General features: G+C 43.2%; 1 long non-coding RNA gene across 1 annotated transcript in view; it reads right to left on the bottom strand.

Moving 5' to 3' along the window:
• Positions 1-238: 238 nt before the first annotated feature.
• Positions 239-20,714, bottom strand: part of LOC105377043 (uncharacterized) — a 191,504-nt gene continuing 171,028 nt past the window's right edge. The window contains exon 3 of the long non-coding RNA XR_007095885.1: positions 239-653. This is a non-coding gene — a long non-coding RNA (uncharacterized LOC105377043). The remainder of the gene's footprint in view (positions 654-20,714) is intronic.

Here is a 20,714-nt window from a genome sequence, read left to right as displayed (position 1 = left end):
CTACGAGAATTTATCTACTTACTCCTGATCTTTTGCCTCCAAGTGGTATGGTCTGGAAGCCAATGGATGGATAAATGTTGATGTCATTACTTTCTAGACTTGAGTTTGCAGTTTGGTTTTCTAGAAGCAGCATGACACAGCAGAAAGAGAATAAAGCTGGCATCAGACTGAGCTAAGTCCTCAACCAAACTCTTTCAGTGTTCAGTTCAGTGGCAGGGCAAGTTCATCTCCTCCTGGGTCTCACCTTTCCCATTGATGAAATGGAAATAACTATATCTACTAATCCCGATGTGAGAGTGGATTGAATACCTGCCCCCCAACAAGATTCATGTTCACTGAGAACCTCAGAATGTGATCTTATTTGGAAAGAAGGTCTTTGCAAATGTAATTAGTTAACTATAAAGATGAGATCTCACTGGTTAAGGAGGATGCTAAATCCAGTGGCTGATGTCCTTATAAGAAAAGGAGAGGACACAGAGAGATACAGAGACGACCATATGCAGATGGAGGCAGAGATGGGACTTACCTGCCATAAGCCAAGGAATAATGAGAACCACCAGAAGAGGAGGAGGCAAGGAAGGATTCTTCCCAAGAGGCTGCAGAGAGGACATGGTCTTGCCAACACCTTTATTTTAGATTTCTGGTCTTCATAACTGTGAGAGAAAAAAAATTATGTTGTTTTAAACCACCAAGTTTCTGGTAATTTGTTATGGCAGCCCACAGAAATTAATGCAGCCTGCAAAGCGCTCAATAGGGTGCTTATCACATAGAAAATAATTGATAAATGCCTCCAATAATTATTATTTACACCTCGTAATGTTCAAGCATCAATCAGAGCATTCTGCAGTAGGTGGCAGAAGTATGACAGTTGCAAAGTCTGAAAGGCTAAGGTTAGAATAACAGGCTTTATTAATTGAGAATCTGCATCTTTTTCTATTTTTTTTCCACCCAAATCCCAAACCCTACCACTAAAAACAAAAACAAACTTTATTTAAACAACTAACTTTAACTATACAACTTGACACTAAATTTTAAAAGAATCCACAGCAATAAAAAAATTCGTAAGAAATAGGTATCTAGGTTCAGTTTGGACAATTTTTCGAACTATAAACCCTAATTATCTATATAGCTTAAGCTAACTGTGGCATTAATTCCCAAATTTCCTTGTAAAATATTGTGCTAGCGCTGAGGGGAAAAAAAAAAAAAAAAAAAAAAGACAGTGAAGAATACAAGTGGCATGGCTGCCTACATCAAACGGTTACAAAAGAAAAAGGACTCTGGGGCCAGGCATGGTGGCTCACGCCTGTAATCCCAGCACTTTGAGGGGCCGAGGCAGGTGGATCACAAGGTCAGGAGATCAAGACCATCCTGGCTAACATGGTGAAACCCTGTCTCTACTAAAAATACAAAAAACAAATAAATAAAAAATTAGCCAGGCGAGGTGGCATGCACCTGTAGTCCCAGCTACTCGCGAGGCTGAGGCAAGAGAATCACTTGGACCCAGGAGGTGTAGGTTGCAGTGAGCCGAGATTGCGCCACTGCACTCCAGCCTGGGCTACAGAGTGAGACTCTGTCTCAAAAAGAAAAAGAAAAAAAAAGAAAAAAAAGGGACTCAGGGCAAGTGTAAAGATTCTGTTTGACAAGCAGGAGGGAGTATTTCCAGAGGGGAGCCAGCAAACAGGACAAAGAGGACAAGTGCCATGAAATACAACCTAAGACGCTGTGCCCTGGCCCACTATGGCAGTGGCAGAAAGGTTGAAATACTTCTTAAGTTTCAAACCTCAAAACAAGGCTTAGAATTTCATTAGAGCCTACAGCTTATACTCTTTAAAAACCAACACCACCAATGTCACATAGGGTTAAGGGTTGGGCCACTCAGGATGGTGATCTCAGAATGGAGGGTCCACCTCCTGTGAGTGTGACACAGACTATGAATGAACAGCTGAAGCACGTCTTCCCAAGCTGGCTTCCCAGTCCAATACACCTGCCCACTCCCCTGGTCACCTACCACGACCCCACCTGTGGAAATGGCCATGTCTCTACCACTTTCCTTGGCCCTTAAATATCATTCATAGGTCCACAGGCAGATGCCTCACCCAAGCTGACCCAATCAGACTCTGCTGTGGGAATCTGAAGTTTAGAATATATACAAATATGAACTAGCAGTCTTTCCAGCAGAGTCACATTAATTGTAGACAAAGAGGTAGTGTGAAACTGCAGACTTGGCTGGGTGTTGTGGCTCATGTCTGTAATCCCAGCAGTTTGAGAGGCAGAGGCAGGTGGATGACCCAAGGTCAGGAGTTTGAAACCAGCCTGGCCAACATGGTGAAACCCTGTCTCTAGTTAAAATACAAAAATTAGCCAGGTGTGGTGGTGAGTGCCTATAATCTCAGCTACCTGGGAGGCTGAGGCACAAGAATTGCTGGAACCTGGGAGGCAGAGTTTGCAGCGAGTGCAGATTGCACCACTGCACTCCAGCCTGGGCGACAAAGTGAGACAGTGTCTCAAAACAACAACAACAAAACAAACAAACAAACAAAAACAAGAAAGAAACTGCAAACTTGCAGGGCTGTGGACTCCACACAGCTCTGATCCCAGCCTTCCTGGGGCTGGGGTTTCCCTGTTTCTCGGATTCCATGAGCTACCTTAGCATTTTTTAGTAAATTCTCATAATTTATTAATTAATGGCTTCCATTGCTTGTACTAGTACCATAGCCGTGTCCTCTGGGTCACACCCAGGGTGTAAGTTGTATGGATGGCCTCCCTGGCCAGGCAAAGGGTGTGCCGCAAGGAGTACTGGTAAATAAGCCAATCAACACAGCAGCTGAGCATCAGTAATGCAGTGGATAGGTGGGGATTATCTTAGTGGCTGGCACAGAATCTCAGATAACACACTGGCTGAACATCAATAATGAAAGGGGTTAGGTAGAATTACTTAGTAGCTGGTACCAAACTCCTCTTTAGTGGAGTGAACTGTCTTTGTCTAAAACATTTTTTTAAATAAAAAAATTATTCACTCCTGATCCAGCGAGGCGTCCATTGCCGCTCCCGATCGGGCTAAAGACTCACCATTGTTCCTGCACGGCTAAGCGCTCAGGACTTCGAAATCTTCTGAAATGTACCTTCACAAACCCCTTGGGAGATTTCAAAGAAACAGACAACTTATTTGAGGAGCCAAGATGGCCAAATAGGAACAGCTCCGGTCTACAGCTCCCAGCGTGAGCGACTCAGAAGACGGGTGATTTCTGCATTTCCATCTGAGGTAACGGGTTCATCTCACTAGGGAGTGCCAGACAGTGGGCGCAGGTCAGTGGGTGTGCCCACCGTGCGCCAGCCGAAGCAGGGCGAGGCATTGCCTCACTCGGGAAGCGCAAGGGGTCAGGGAGTTCCCTTTCCTAGTCAAAGAAAGGGGTGACGGACGGCTCCAAGAAAATCGCGTCACTCCCACCCCAATACTGCGCTTTTCCGACAGGCTTAAAAAATGGCGCACCACAAGATTATATCCCACACCTGGCTCGGAGGGTCCTACGCCCACGGAGTCCCACTGATTGCTAGCACAGCAGTCTGAGATCAAACTGCAAGGCGGCAGCGAGGCTGGAGGAGGGGCGCCCACCATTGCCCAGGCTTGCTTAGATAAACAAAGCAGCTGGGAAGCTCGAACTGGGTGGAGCCCACCACAGCTCAAGGAGGCCTGCCTGCCTCTGTAGGCTCCACCTCTGGGGGCAGGGCACAGACAAACAAAAAGACAGCAGTAACCTCTGCAGACTTAAATGTCCCTGTCTGACAGCTTTGAAGAGAGCAGTGGTTCTCCCAGTACGCAGCTGGAGATCTGAGAATGGGCAGACTGCCTCCTCAAGTGGGTCCCTGACCCCTGACCACCGAGCAGCCTAACTGGGAGGCACCCCCCAGCAGGGGCACACTGACACCTCACATGGCAGGGTACTCCAACAGACCTGCAGCTGAGGGTCCTGTCTGTTAGAAGGAAAACTAACAAACAGAAAGGACACCCACACCAAAAACCCATCTGTACATCATCATCATCAAAGACCAAAAGTAGATAAAACCACAAAGATGGGGAAAAAACAGAACAGAAAAACTGGAAACTCTAAAAAGCAGAGCGCCTCTCCTCCTCCAGAGGAACGCAGTTCATCACCAGCAACGGAACAAAGCTGGACGGAGAATGACTTTGACGAGCTGAGAGAAGAAGGCTTCAGACGATCAAATTACTCTGAGCTACGGGAGGACATTCAAACCAAAGGCAAAGAAGTTGAAAACTTTGAAAAAAATTTAGAAGAATGTATAACTAGAATAACCAATATAGAGAAGTGCTTAAAGGAGCTGATGGAGCTGAAAACCAAGGCTCGAGAACTACGTGAAGAATGCAGAAGCCTCAGGAGCCGATGTGATCAACTGGAAGAAAGGGTATCAGCAATGGAAGATGAAATGAATGAAACGAAGCGAGAAGGGAAGTTTAGAGAAAAAAGAATAAAAAGAAACGAGCAAAGCCTCCAAGAAATATGGGACTATGTGAAAAGACCAAATCTACGTCTGATTGGTGTACCTGAAAGTGATGGGGAGAATGGAACCAAGTTGGAAAACACTCTGCAGGATATTATCCAGGAGAACTTCCCCAATCTAGCAAGGCAGGCCAACGTTCAGATTCAGGAAATACAGAGAACGCCACAAAGATACTCCTCGAGAAGAGCAACTCCAAGACACATAATTGTCAGATTCACCAAAGTTGAAATGAAGGAAAAAATGTTAAGCGCAGCCAGAGAGAAAGGTCGGGTTACCCTCAAAGGGAAGCCCATCAGACTAACAGTGGATCTCTCGGCAGAAACTCTACAAGCCAGAAGAGAGTGGGGGCCAATATTCAACATTCTTAAAGAAAAGAATGTTCAACCCAGAATTTCATATCCAGCCAAACTAAGCTTCATAAGTGAAGGAGAAATAAAATACTTTACAGACAAGCAAATGCTGAGAGATTTTGTCACCACCAGGCCTGCCCTGAAAGAGCTCCTGAAGGAAGCGCTAAACATGGAAAGGAACAACGGGTACCAGCCGCTGCAAAATCATGCCAAAATGTAAAGACCATCGAGACTAGGAAGAAACTGCATCAACTAACGAGCAAAATAACCAGCTAACATCATAATGACAGGATCAAATTCACACATAACAATATTAACTTTAAATGTAAATGGACTAAATGCTCCAATTAAAAGACACAGACTGGCAAATTGGATAAAGAGTCAAGACCCATCAGTGTGCTGTATTCAGGAAACCCATCTCACGTGCAGAGACACACATAGGCTCAAAATAAAAGGATGGAGGAAGATCTACCAAGCAAATGGAAAACAAAAAAAGGCAGGGGTTGCAATCCTAGTCTCTGATAAAACAGACTTTAAACCAACAAAGATCAGAAGAGACAAGGAAGGCCATTGCATAATGGTAAAGGGATCAATTCAACAAGAAGAGCTAACTATCCTAAATATATATGCACCCAATACAGAGGCACCCAGATTCATAAAGCAAGTCCTGAGTGACCTACAAAGAGACTTAGACTCCCACACATTAATAATGGGAGATTTTAACACCCCACTGTCAACATTAGACAGATCAACGAGACAGAAAGTCAACAAGGATATCCAGGAATTGAACTCAGCTCTGCACCAAGCAGACCTAATAGACATCTACAGAACTCTCCACCCCATATCAACAGAATATACATTTTTTTCAGCACCACACCACACCTATTCCAAAATTGACCACATAGTTGGAAGTAAAGCTCTCCTCAGCAAATGTAAAAGAACAGAAATTACACAAACTATCTCTCAGACCACAGTGCAATCAAACTAGAACTCAGGATTAAGAATCTCACTCAAAGCCGCTCAACTACATGGAAATTGAACAACCTGCTCCTGAATGACTACTGGGTATATAGCGAAATGAAGGCAGAAATAAACATGTTCTTCGAAACCAACGAGAACAAAGACACAGCATACCAGAATCTCTGGGACGCATTCAAAGCAGTGTGTAGAGGGAAATTTATAGCACTAAATGCCCACAAGAGAAAGCAGGAAAGATCCAAAATTGACACCCTAACATCACAATTAAAAGAACTAGAAAAGCAAAAGCAAACACATTCGAAAGCTAGCAGAAGGCAAGAAATAACTAAAATCAGAGCAGAACTGAAGGAAATAGAGACACAAAAAACCCTTCAAAAAGTTAATGAATCCAGGAGCTGGTTTTTTGAAAAGATCAACAAAATTGATAGACCACTAGCAAGACTAATAAAGAAAAAAAGAGAGAAGAATCAAATAGACGCAATAAAAAATGATAAAGGGGATATCACCACTGATCCCACAGAAATACAAACTACCATCAGAGAATACTACAAACACCTCTATGCAAACAAACTAGAAAATCTAGAAGAAATGGATAAATTCCTCGACACATACACCCTCCCAAGACTAAACCAGGAAGAAGTTGAATCTCTGAATAGACCAATAACAGGCTCTGAAATTGTGGCAATAATCAATAGCTTACCAATGAAAAAGAGTCCAGGACCAGATGGATTCACAGCCGAATTCTACCAGAGGTACAAGGAGGAACTGGTACCATTCCTTCTGAAACTATTCCAATCAATAGAAAAAGAGGGAATCCTCCCTAACTCATTTTGTGAGGCCAGCATCATTCTGATACCAAAGCCGGGCACAGACACAACCAAAAAAAGAGAATTTTAAACCAATATCCTTGATGAACATTGATGCAAAAATCCTCAATAAAATACTGGCAAATCAAATCCAGCAGCACATCAAAAAGCTTATCCACCATGATCAAGTGGGCTTCATCCCTGGGATGCAAGGCTGGTTCAATATACACAAATCAATAAATGTAATCCAGCATATAAACAGAACCAAAGACAAAAACCACATGATTATCTCAACAGATGCAGAAAAGGCCTTTGACAAAATTCAACAATGCTTCATGCTAAAAACTCTCAATAAATTAGGTATTGATGGGACGTATCTCAAAATAATAAGAGCTATCTATGACAAACCCACAGCCAATATCATACTGAATGGGCAAAACCTGGAAGCATTCCCTTTGAAAACTGGCACAAGACAGGGATGCCCTCTCTCACCACTCCTATTCAACAGAGTGTTGGAACTTCTGGCCAGGGCCATTAGGCAGGAGAAGGAAATAAAGGGTATTCAATTAGGAAAAGAGGAAGTCAAATTGTCCCTGTTTGCAGACGACCTGATTGTATATCTAGAAAACCCCATTGTCTCAGCCCAAAATCTCCTTAAGCTGATAAGCAACTTCAGCAAAGTCTCAGGATACAAAATCAATGTACAAAAATCACAAGCATTCTTATACACCAACAACAGACAAACAGAGAGCCAAATCATGAGTGAACTCCCATTCACAATTGCTTCAAAGAGAATAAAATACCTGGGAATCCAACTTACAAGGGATGTGAGGGACCTCTTCAAGGAGAACTACAAACCACTGCTCAAGGAAATAAAAGAGGATACAAACAAATGGAAGAACATTCCATGCTCATGGGTAGGAAGAATCAATATCGTGAAAATGGCCATACTGCCCAAGGTGATTTACAGATTCAGTGCCATCCCCATCAAGCTACAAATGCCTTTCTTCACAGAATTGGAAAAAACTACTTTAAAGTTCATATGGCACCAAAAAAGAGCCCGCATCGCCAAGTCAATCCTAAGCCAAAAGAACAAAGCTGGAGGCATCACACTACCTGACTTCAAACTATACTACAAGGCTACAGTAACCAAAACAGCATGGTACTGGTACCAAAACAGAGATATAGATCAATGGAACAGAATAGAGCCCTCAGAAATAACGCCGCATATCTACAACTATCTGATCTTTGACAAACCTGAGAAAAACAAGCAATGGGGAAAGGATTCCCTATTTAATAAATGGTGCTGGGAAAACTGGCTAGCCATATGTAGAAAGCTGAAACTGGATCCCTTCCTTACACCTTATACAAAAATCAATTCAAGATGGATTAAAGACTTAAACGTTAGACCTAAAACCATAAAAACCCTAGAAGAAAACCTAGGCATTACCATTCAGGACATAGGCATGGGCAAGGACTTCATGTCTAAAACACCAAAAGCAATGGCAACAAAAGCCAAAATTGACAAATGGGATCTAATTAAACTAAAGAGCTTCTGCACAGCAAAAGAAACTACCATCAGAGTGAACAGGCAACCTACAAAATGGGAGAAAATTTTCGCAACCTACTCATCTGACAAAGGGCTAATACCCAGAATCTACAATGAACTCAAACAAATTTACAAGAAAAAAACAAACAACCCCATCAAAAAGTGGGCGAAGGACATGAACAGACACTTCTCAAAAGAAGACATTTATGCAGCCAAAAACCACATGAAAAAATGCTCATCATCACTGGCCATCAGAGAAATGCAAAATCAAAACCACAATGAGATACCATCTCACACCAGTTAGAATGGCAACCATTAAAAAGTCAGGAAACAACAGGTGCTGGAGAGGATGTGGAGAAATAGGAACACTTTTACACTGTTGGTGGGACTGTAAACTAGTTCAACCATTGTGGAAGTCAGTGTGGCGATTCCTCAGGCATCTAGAACTAGAAATACCATTTGACCCAGCCATCCCATTACTGGGTATATACCCAAAGGACTATAAATCATGCTGCTATAAAGACACATGCACACATATGTTTATTGCGGCATTATTCATAATAGCAAAGACTTGGAACCAACCCAAATGTCCAACAATGATAGACTGGATTAAGAAAATGTGGCACATATACACCATGGAATACTATGCAGCTATAAAAAAGGATGAGTTCGTGTCCTTTGTAGGGACATGGATGAAATTGGAAATCATCATTCTCAGTAAACTATCGCAAGAACAAAAAACCAAACACCGCATATTCTCACTCATAGGTGGGAATTGAACAATGAGATCACATGGACACAGGAAGGGGAACATCACACTCTGGGGACTGTTGTGGGGTGGGGGGAGGGGGGAGGGATAGCATTGGGAGATATACCTAATGCTAGATGACGAGTTAGTGGGTGCAGCGCACCAGCATGGCACATGTATACATATGTAACTAACCTGCACAATGTGCACATGTACCCTAAAACTTAAAGTATAATAATTAAAAAAATAAATAAATAAAAATAAAAAAATAAAAAAATTGTTCAAAAAAACTTTCTAAAGGTGTCCAGTAGACGGATTTCCTGAGAGGGAGAGTTACGGTAACAAAAGGAGTTTTTGGAATTCTCAGGGCATTCAAGAAGGAACCAGGGAGGTGTTTTAAGTGGGATAAGACCTGCCTCTTGCTGTCTGCCCTCACAACCTTCAGAAAAATTCACCAAATTTACATATGCTACATGTGAACAATTGTTTGTTGTTGGGACAAAACATGTGCTTGAGTTTCTCATTGGTATTGATGTGTTATAAAACATTCAAGGAAGCTGGAGCCTATGAGGCAGTGGACCCAGGAGAACAGAAACTCCCAAGACTTGGCAGGAGGCTGAAAGGGGGTTTTAGATTTCCCCTGGCCATGGAATTGGACTGGGGGAGGTGGGAAGGCAGTTCCAAAGCAAATTCCCCTAAACATGAAGGAGGAAGGGGAACCTGGGGTTCCCCCATTCACAGGGATGTGTGAAAATGACATCCCTGAGCAAACAAATTTCAGTCTCATTCCCTGTAATATGTGGGGATGTTCCCTTTGCTTCTTTGCTTGTCATGGACCCTTTTTCTGAGAAGAATGTCATTCAGAAATAAAAACCCTTCTCATACAGGGCCTCAAGGTAAAGGAAGGGCAAACCTTTACACTTATTCCTCTTAGAAATGAAAGGAGTGTGAATCAGGGGACTCCAGAAAAAAAATCCTGGCTGTTTGTCATTTAGCAATGAGCTGGCTAAACGGCCTCATGTAAGCTATAAGAACAAGGATTGAGATGACAACTTTGCCTCTGGATAGAAAGAAGTAGTTAAGAAAACTGTACCAGATGCCTCCAGTGACCCACGTCACATTTCCAGGCCACCTCTTCAGCGACACCTACAGAGAATGATTGTGGGCAAACTCAGGTTCACCTGACCTGACAGCATCTAGTCACTGCCAAGTTCTTTAGCTTTCTGCCCCAATCCTCTCCAAGGCCAGACTCCCTCTCTCCCTGAGCTTCAGTGTATGGATAAACTCTCAGGGGCAACCCCCAGCTAGTGGCAAGCTGGTGGATAAATGCCTGACTCCCATCCTTTGGATGGACAGTTGTAGGAAATGTTTATTTTTTATTTAAAGATTTTTTATTTTTAATTTTTGTCAGTACACAGTAGGTGAATATATTTATGTGGGTACAGGAGATATTTTGATATGGTCATGAAATATGTAATAATCACATCAGGATAAATGGGGTATCTATTAAGCATTTATCCTTTGTGTTACAAACATTCCAATTATACTTTTAGTTATTTTAAAATGTACAATTAAATTATTGTTGATTATTATAAAATTATGATAGTCACCCTATTGTGCTATCAAACACTAGCTTTTATTCATTCTTTCTATTTTTTGTACCCATTAGTCATCCCACTTGCCCCCACCCCACCCACTACCTTCCCAGCCTCTGGTAACCATCCTTCTGCACTCTATCTTGTAGAAGTTATTTTTGATGACACTTAGGAGGTCCCAATGGAATTGAGCCCCACTTGCACACAGTGGCACCTCACTTCTTAACATCGCCCTTATTGGCTTCTCCTCCTCCCTACCTCACTCTCCTCATGCTATCACCTCCCAAATAAACTAGATGCTCCCTAGTCATTAGCTCTATCTTAGGTGGAGTTTCAATATTATGCCATTTTGAGTGAGATGGAAAGCAAGTGGATTTGGTTCTGATATCAGATGAAGAAGCAAGACTTCAGATGTTCTGATGTCAGATGAGAATGTCAGGTCAAATATGTTCCAGAAATCCTGAAAATACAAGGCCCCAACTTCAGAACTACATATTCATCAAGCAATAAAGACATAATCAATTCTTAAATGACCCCAACTCTCTCGGGCGCCTTAGTGTTTACCTTGTAACTGCTGCTTGCCAGTGGATGGACTGGCTCTTCTGTTTTAGGTGAGTGCAATTCCCTCACTTCACTCATGGCCAATGCCTTGTGAAGTGAACAAGTAATAGTCTCAGAAATCCAGTGGAAATGCAATAGTTCAAGGAATACATCTTTAAAAAGTAATATATAGTTCTTGAAATGCACATACTGGGGGAAGCCAGCTACTGTATAAGAACTCCAACTATTCTAAGACTGTATGCTGTGAAGAAACCTAAGCTAGCCATATGGAGAGATGATTAGCTCTGTTTCTGGTTATCTTAGCTGGCTATCCTATCGGGTTATCTGTTCTGGTTATCTTGGCTGAATCTCTGAACATGTGAGTGAATAAGCCATCCTGGACATATGGTCCAGTTGAGCCTTCAGATGACTTCAGCTCCATCTACCATCTGACTGCAACTGCATGAGAAAGCCCAAGTGAGAACTTCCCAGCTGATCCCTGTCATGTAAACAGTGAGGGATTATAAATTGTTGTGTTAGGCCCATAAGTTTTGGAGTCATTTGTTATGCAGCATTAGATAACTAATACATTCCACAAAACTAATATGTGGGAGCTACAAGAAGCTTGGCTTCACTGAAATGTCGGATATATGACCAGAGGCTCTGGAGATGAGGCTTGAACATGAGGCACCATGAGACTGTATGGGGCCTAACAAGCTGTTCAAGGTGGTAATCTATTTGGTGGCTGTTGTCCTGGACCAATAAGAGATGATGATGTTCTGGGCTTGGGCATGGCCATAAGGATGGAAAGGAGACAGGATGGAGCTGACAGGGCTTGTTTGTCTATTGTCTGACAATTGCAGTGGCTCCACTATGTGTTTGTTGAGTGAGTGATGGATGGATGTTTGTGGGCTGAGTCAAGCAGAGCTGTCTGTGTGTTAGTTTGAATGACTGTAGCTGACTAATCCCTGAAATAGGATTTAGGGAATAGTCCACTGACTTTTGCATTATGCATATAGACTGCAACCCAAGAGGTTCAAATAACTGAACCCATCTTCCACCTAGAAGGTGTTATCTGCGACTCTGGCAGTCTTCCACAGGGACATGTCTAGGACAGCACATGGGAGATCTGCAGAGAAGCAGCCTCCTAGAGCCTGACTCATTCCTTTGCAATCCGAATGTTGGGCAGACAGCCTCTGAATTCAATTAGACATCTAGGTACACGACGGAAGGAAGGGACAAGGAAGGGAACGCTGGGGTTTGGTTTGCAGTTTTCATCAGTTGCTGGAAACTTCATTCCTGCTTGAGTGTGTTTGGCTAGGAGTGAGAAGTATTAATACATTTTCTTTTAAAAGGCTGTGAGAGAGAGAGAGAGAAAGAGAGACAGAAAGAGAGAGAGAGAGATTTGGGTAGAATAGGGCTCGACACAGATGAAAAGAGGATATTTGCTTTGGAAGCCGGGCAATTGACTCTGTGCAGAGGTAAAACCAAATATGATCATAGATACGACAGAGAAAGAGACATAAAGATTTCATGGAGCTATCCTTGAAATGAAAGGAAACTAAAGTTTATTGAACATCTCCCAGGAACTATCCATCTATGATCTCATATAATTCTCATGGTAATTCCAAAGTTAGGAGTAATTATCTCCATTTCACAGATATTAAGTCTCAAGGTCACACAAGGTAGAAATTGAGAGAGCTGAGATTCAAACGCAGGCCTCTAACTCTGGAGCCTCTGTGTTGTTACAGTTTCACGCTTTCTCAAGGGTGGGCACTGGAAGGGCTTAGAATCCCCTTCCTTCCCCTTCCACCTTCAGCCTGAGACCCTGAGTCCAGGAGGGCCACCTTGTTATCCTCTTGATTCAATTCATTTGGTTGGGTGGGGACACAGTGAGGGCCACAGGGACATAGGGCAGAGCTAGAACATTTTCATGAATAGGCTCCTCCCTTCCCAAGACCACATGGAACCAGCCTCCTGGGGCCTGACACCTTTGTCCCCTGTATGCTGGATTTACTTAGGGAGCCTCTTCTATGTGCAGGGCACCATGGGTGCCTCAGAGGTCAATAATAATAATAACCAGCATTTACTGAGCAGTTACTATTTGTCAGACTGGAACACCCAGGATACCTGCATCATGGCACTTAACCCTCTGAAGTTGCTCCCTTTAATCTCCCTGTGTCACAAACCAGGCATGAAGCTCATCTTATCCCTAAGATGCCCAAGAATACTCAGAGTGTCCCAGAGCCTGAATTCAAACCCACTTATGCCTGACCCCCAGCACCCAAACTCTTAAGCACTGAGCTTTGCTGTCCCCAGGGGAAAAGAGAATTGTGCTGTTCTTTCTTGGGCAGGGTGGTCCCTCCTCTGACTCCTTTCTTGGCTCTTCCAGGAGATAGCAGACACTGAGCAGTGCTTAGGAGCAGTGGTGCTGAGTGTTTGGAGGGAAACGGAAGGGAGTTAGCTCCCCATATTATATCTCGGTGGCAGCCTCTGGGCCTCCACATAATCCTGCCCCACCACCTCAGCCCTGCTCCTCCTTTTCTGAGCTATGTGGTCAGAGTTGGCCTCTACTGGTCAGGGAGCTTCTGCAGAGTGAAGGCCTGTGTGTGTGTTTGCGTGTAGTCCCCATGCTACCCTGTCACTTGCCCCTCATGCCAGCTGCCCCTTCTGTCTTGAGTACCAGCATGCCCCTTGAGCCTTTGTACACTGGCAGTTGTGTGGCCCATTGCCACTCCCTTTTCTTCTGGAGCATTCACTGAACACTGCCAAAGGTGAGAAATCTCAGGGGACTAGAGAGGTGACAAGCTTTTCCAAGGTCACACAGCAGGTTGTAGCAGCCTGGGATTTTGACACCTCCTTTTCTTGTTTCCACATGAACAAAGAGTGTTGTGTCTCTTCCTTCCATGGCACACCACTGGCCTCAAGCTTGATGACGCCTTGTTACCCAGAACCAGAGCTCCCATCCTCACACACAGAGAGCCTCCCTGGTATCCTCCTTGCTTCAAACTGCTCTCAGGTTAGGAAGGCCCAGGGAATCTTCTATTGGAAGCAAATGGGCTTTCTCAGCCCCTGAGTCTACTGCCCCTCAAACCCCTGGAGTTGAGCCCCCACCCCTGCTTTCACACCCCAGCCAGGGAAATGGCTGTGGCAAAGGTGGTTCAGGGAGTCATGTGGTACCTGCCTGGCTTCAACCACAGGAGGAAACAAAGGCCCAAGGTCCACTCGCATTTGACACAAGCCCCCCTCAGTGTAAGGCAGGCATTCGAAGCCAGGGTCTTTCACGGTTAAAATAATATCCTCTGTCATCACTGCAGCGAACAGTTTCTTGGCTCTATTTTTACAATTCTTGTTTCAGATTTCTTCAAGGCAAGACTTTCCCAGGAGCTCGCTGAATCAGATAGTCCTCGAGGGAACCCAGGGGAAAGTTGGCCTGGGAGTACCGCACGCCCACCAGTGGGGGCCCTTCCTCAGGAACCATGTGGTCACCTGCTCCTCCCCCACGTTTTGGGAAGACATAGAGAGGACAGATCTGGGATCTGCCAAGGCCAGTCTCAGAGCCCTGACCCTTCAGTGACCATGTATTTGGCTAAATCCATCTGTCAGAGCCTGCAGAGCCTCATTCACTCACCAACATACAAGCCCCTAATTCTGGAGGGCCTTCTGTTCTGTGGCCCAGGACTGCGGCGAGCTGGTGCAAACTCCTGCAATGACAGGTGAAGACACTGAGGCCAAGGCAGAGCCCAGGTCTCTTCTTGGCCAGAGTGTCCCTCCCTGCCTCACAGCTCCCCTTTGAGGAGGCCTGCACCAGGAGAACCATCTCCTCCATTCTCTTTCTCTCGACTCTAATTTCTCATTTAAAAATAATAATTATATATATAATATATATCATATAATACATGATATATAATATATATCATATAATACATGATATATAATATCATATTATATATTATATGATATATAATATATACTATATATGTCATATATCATATATTATATATAGTTATATATAATATATATTATATCATATGATATATAATATATTATGAACATTATAAATATATTATATATTATAAATATATAAACATATATATTCTATATAATATGTATTATATAATTATATATTCTATATAATATGTATTATATAATATATCATATATTATATATTATATAGAATATATAGAATATCATATATTATATATTATATGATATATAATATATGTTATATAGAATATATATTTATATATTATCTATATCATATATAATATATATTTTCAGCTGGTCATGGTGGCTCACCCCTGTAAACCCAGCACTTTGGGAGGCCGAGGCAGGCAGATTTCTTGAGTCCAGGAGTTCAAGACCAGCCTGGGCAACATGGCAAAACCCCGTCTCTACAAAAACACACAAAAAATTAGCCAGGCTTGGTGGCGCGGTGGGAGGTGGGATCCTGAGGTGGGAGGATCGCTTGGGCCAGGAAGGTTGAGGTTGCAATGAGCTGTGTTTCTGCCACTGCACTCCAGACTGGGTGACAAAGTGAGACCTTGTCTCAAAAAAAAAAAAAAAAAAAAAAATTTTGTAAAGAGATTGAGGTGAAGCCAAACTCCATGGGCTACATTTAACTTGTGTTCTCTTCCTGTGGAAACAGAGAATTCTGGGCTTGGTCCTGCTCCTGTAAGCCGACACTTTTGTGCTTCCGCACCAGGTCCCTGGTAATTAGGCCTCCAGGTGACTTCTCTGAGGCTCAGAGGGATCATTTGCCTGAACCAGGGAGGGGACTTGTGATAGTCTCAGAGCAGGGAGGCATTGCTCCCAGTCTGGGGGTAGGAGGGGACCCACCCCCATCCTGAGAGTGTAATTGTTTCTGTGAGTGTAAGAAGCTTTAATTGAAGCAAACCATCAGGTTGGTGTGAACAGCTCACAAATTACACTGTTGAGAACAAATACTATGGAAATTTTCTTCAGAAAATACAGAGAGAGAATGGTATATCCTGCCAGATATTTGCACCAAACTGTTAGATGTGGAACTAATTAGCTAATGTCGTTTAAGTTTTGAGTCTCATGTTTGTTTGTATTTCTTTTATTCTAACGTAACTCTCTTTAGTATAATGGCATGGTATGTATATATAAATGTATCTGAAAGCCTGCAGTTTAGAAGGAGCTCCTCCCCTTAGCGGTTTCTCTTTTATACTGCAATCAAGAGGCAGCAATATGTCCAACTGTCCCTTGTAACTGCCTCACTCCAGAATTGCATCACGTCCCTCACTGCTGAAGGGATATGATTCTTGCACCTCACATGGGGACCTTCTTGGACCCTCTCTGTGCCATTTTTACAGCCCAATACATGAAATTTGCACTATTTTTAATCTAATGCTGTTTCATTTCACATTTTTTAGGATGGGTTAAGAAAAAAAAGTTGTTAATTTTATTTATTTATTCATTCATTTATCTATTTATTCATTTTATTTGTTTCTTTCTTGGTTTGGGTACTCTCCAATACAGCCTGAAACATCAGCTTAGGTGCAGGCAAATTTTTGAAAGGTGATTCCAGGGAGTAGAAGTGAGCAAGTGGGGGACTGAGACGAGAGAAGGAAGAAAAGTCAATAAAGGGCGAGTTATTGAAGCAAATCAAAGCTGGTTATTGCCATGGTTCCCTGAAGCTCAATCTCTCTGGGGGCTCTCTAAGAAACTGTGTAGAACGCTTTCAAAATTGTCCCCCTGAATAGGAGGCTGGGGCATTTCCATGCCAATTCCCATCCCCCTTTGACTGAGGGTTTCTCTGGGGGATGTCAACTCACCCACTCTTCTGGGCTATACTTGTATGGGTTGTCCTGGTGGCTTTGGAGGAAGCCCTGAGGCAGGAAAATGGAGAGAAGCTCAACATTGCTGTGCTTAGTTCATTATGGGATTAGTTCATTACAGTGACAAGCTGAAGTCAAAGGGTAGAAATGCATCTGCTTTTGAATATTTCTTTCGAATATTCCTCATTCGAAAGAAAAAGAAGAAAAAGAAAAAAACACCCAGGTTTGCAGTGGTGTACACAAATGCCTATGGTACAGAAGATAAAATATGTGAAGAAATTGGGCAATGAGGGGAGAAAATAATAGAAGAAAAATTCTCTTGGGGCTTCTTAGCAGCCAATGCAAGGAGGGAAACAGATTAGTTGTACAATTTAGTGTCCACAAAACAAAAGCAAACTGTTGCTCAGGCAAACATAACCTTCCCCATGGTCCTCAGAGCAAAGGCACAGTGTCACTGTGCTGACATTGACATTCCAATGGTGAATGCAGTGGCTGCTCTTCTCTCTGTCTAATGTCATCACAGTCTGATGGTGGGAGAATTTGTCCTCAAAACAACAAACAGCATAATATTCTCAAACCCATTGTTTGGACAGGACTCTTTCAAGTAAGTAGCAGGAGCCCAATTCAACTCAGCCTTAACAGGTAGGGGCATTTGTTGGCTTGTGTGCTTTGACGGGCAGGAGTGGACTGACTCGGGCAAAGCAGGGGCCAGGGGTTCATATGTCACCAGGATTCAGTCTCTGTCTATCCAGATACAGAAGGTATTAATGGGCAGGTTACATCTCTGCAGCCAGACACAGGCATTTCCATCCCGCCAGAATGACATGGGATGGAAAGAGGAAAGCTGAGCAGCACAATGCAGCATATGTCCCCTGTACCCACTGTAACCTTCCAGGGCCCAGGTTGACTTCAATACTCGAGGGGTGGGAATGACATAATATGGTTCTCACCATGCACAATAATTTAAGATGATTTTTGAAATTATCCAAGTGATATGAAACAAACCTCCTGTTTGCTTAAGGAAAGGGATGAAATTCCATTGTAGTAAGGAAAGGGGTATGGCAGAGCTATTGGTGCCCCACCTATAGCACCTTTGTGTCACCACTCACATATGCTGACAGCACTTGAAACTATCCTGTGGGCTTTCTCTTTCCACAGGATTGTGTTTGACTTACTCATGGGATGGGGCAGAAGTATGGGTAGCTAATGTCGCCAACAAATGACAGTTGGGAATTGGAGGATATATACCCCAGCTTCCTCATCCCAGCACCACTGAAGCATGGTCTGTGTTGTCTTCCAGGGTACCCTGGTAGATTGAGCCACAGTTGACTACAGCTGTAACCTGCCCATTAATACCTTCTGCACTGGCTTCCTTTCCTTTGCTCACCTTCTCACCCTGTGCTGGGGCCTCCTGGGATCATCTTCCATATAAATTACTTGCACTTAAATTCTTGTTTTGTCTGCTTCCAGAGGAACCCAACCTATGAGTGGTCTTATTTATTCTCTCATTTCCAGAAACATTAATTATACTCCCCCACCTTCAAGTTGCTAAAATTATAAAGTCTACTCTCTGAGTTGGCAGATTTGTGTTGTTTGCTTAGAGATGAACAAGGTCTCCCAAAGGCAGGAGGAGGTCAAGATGACCCCTCTTAGATTTGGAAATCCCCAGCACAGCCAATTCCTAAAAGAGAGAAAGATGGCTTACCCTTGACTTGTAATGGGGCTCACATGCTCCCATTACAGTTCAAGGTCTGGGTTTTCTGCTCAATGTCCAATCATGGCAACAAGACTTATCGCTCAGCTTTAAACTTCTATTGGTTGTGTTAGATACAGCACAGCCCAGGAAAGAATAGCAGGGTTTGCAATCTGGATTCCTAGCTGAGAGACTACATCAGCACTTTGTTCCCGAAGCCACAGGGAACCGTGGATTTGTAGTCATTTCTAATGGAGTCCAGACAGGTTATAGCATAAGAATGAAGATAATTCCCCTGCCTGAAATATATGGATTTATTTCTAGGCATACCTCTGTCTGGTTGAAGTAGGACCTTCATTTAAATGTAAATGTGGGTTTTGAGAGTGCTCTTAAAGAAAGAAAAATACCCAAGCCGACATCCAGGGCCTGGGGGAAGGTGCACAGGATGGCTTGCGTGAACTAATGCTGCAAAGGTGCACAAGGGGCAGCCATGAAAAAGATAAGTCAAATGAAAGTGAAAAGATAATAGATAAGCTGAGGATTAGAAAATAAGATGATTTCATGTAGGGTGGGTTGGCTGCGGAGACCTATGGAAAGGCATTCATACTAGAAGAGTTGTCTAGTTGAACTTCCCAGGATGAAAATGCTCTCTGTGCTGTTCACAAGTGGTTATTGAGCAGTTAAAATGTGCTATAAGAAACTGAATTTTTAATGTTATTTAAGTAATTTAAATGTAAATAGCCATTTGTGGCTAGAGGCCATATAAGGCAGCACAGGTCTAGAAGCTTATTGGTTGGCGAAGGCTTAGAAACAGACCATTCACCCTAGGATATTAGGCCTGGTAATTCTCCAGGTGGAGGGGGTATATCAGAATTACATCGTCGGGAGAAGAGGCCTTTCAACAACACCCATGTTCTTTTTCTGATAAGCACCTCCTCCTACCATGGGAGGAGGGGTCCTGCGCAATCCTGCGGTGAGCCACCATCATCTAAGACAGTGTTTGTCCCTCAGGGGTCCGGGGACAGCAAAAGAAGTTGAGAACTCCTGAGTGAGTGAGCATAAAAATGGAAATTTTCTTTTTTTAAATATATTTTTAGAGACAAGGTCTTACTATGTTGCCCAGGCTGGTCTTGAACTCCTAGGCTCCAGTGCTCCTCTGGCCTTGGCTTCCCAAAGTGCTGGGATTATAGAAGTGAGCCATTATGCCCAGGCCAGAAAAAGAAAAAAGGTCAAGAAGGCATAATCTTATTTAGAATTGATCTTGTTCTGGTATATTGTTAAAGATCCATTTCAGTTTTCTGTAAGACAAGTGGGGAAGCCATATCTATTTACCCTGTCTATGTGGAAGGCCTGCTGTGTGCTCAGCTCTGTGCTAGGCATAGGACCTGTCATGGAAGGGGTGGGGAGGTAGGGAGGTGAGCCATCTGTCCCTGGTCACACATTCATGACTGGGTTTATATACATGTATGTGTATTTATCTTATGCTTGAAATGTGGTATAAATTCATCTTATTTATCATTCCAGGAATGCTCTTGGGAATGGCACAGATTTATTTCACTTTGTTTTTGTGTTTGCATAATTTGGTAAATATAAACACTGAAATTACAACTAAATATTTGTGAACCATGACTGGGCATTTCTTTGATCTTGGCCTGACTTAGCTCGCTTCACTAGGCTCACTCACGCATCTGTGGTCCGCTAGTAGGTGGACTAGAGCTGGCTTTGATCATCTTCATCAGACTCTCTTACATATCTGGGGCCTATGCTGGGATAACTGGGGTGACTTTGCCCTATCTTGTTTCTCATGGTCCAGCAGGCTATCCCAGGCTTGTTCACATGGCAGATGCCAGGGGCCTCAGATGGTGAGTGAGGCATGCAAGGCTTATTGGGGGCCTCAGCTTGAAACTTTAACGTGTTACTTCTGCCACATTTTATCAGTCAAAGAAAGTCATGTGGCCAGCTCAGATTTTAGGAATGGGAATTTAATTCTTTTTTTTTTTTTTTTTTTTTTTTTTTTGAGATAGGGCCTCACTCTGTTGCCCAGACTGGCGTGCAGTGGCACCATCTCGGCTCACCACAACCTCCGCCTCCGAGTTCAAGTGATTCTCCTGCTTCAGCCTCCAGAGTAGCTGGGAT

This window comes from Homo sapiens, chromosome 3 (genome assembly GCF_000001405.40).
Source record: "Homo sapiens chromosome 3, GRCh38.p14 Primary Assembly".
Classification (NCBI taxonomy): domain Eukaryota; kingdom Metazoa; phylum Chordata; class Mammalia; order Primates; family Hominidae; genus Homo; species Homo sapiens.
Note: the sequence above shows the minus strand (reverse complement) of the source record. Positions and strands in the feature narration are given on the sequence as shown.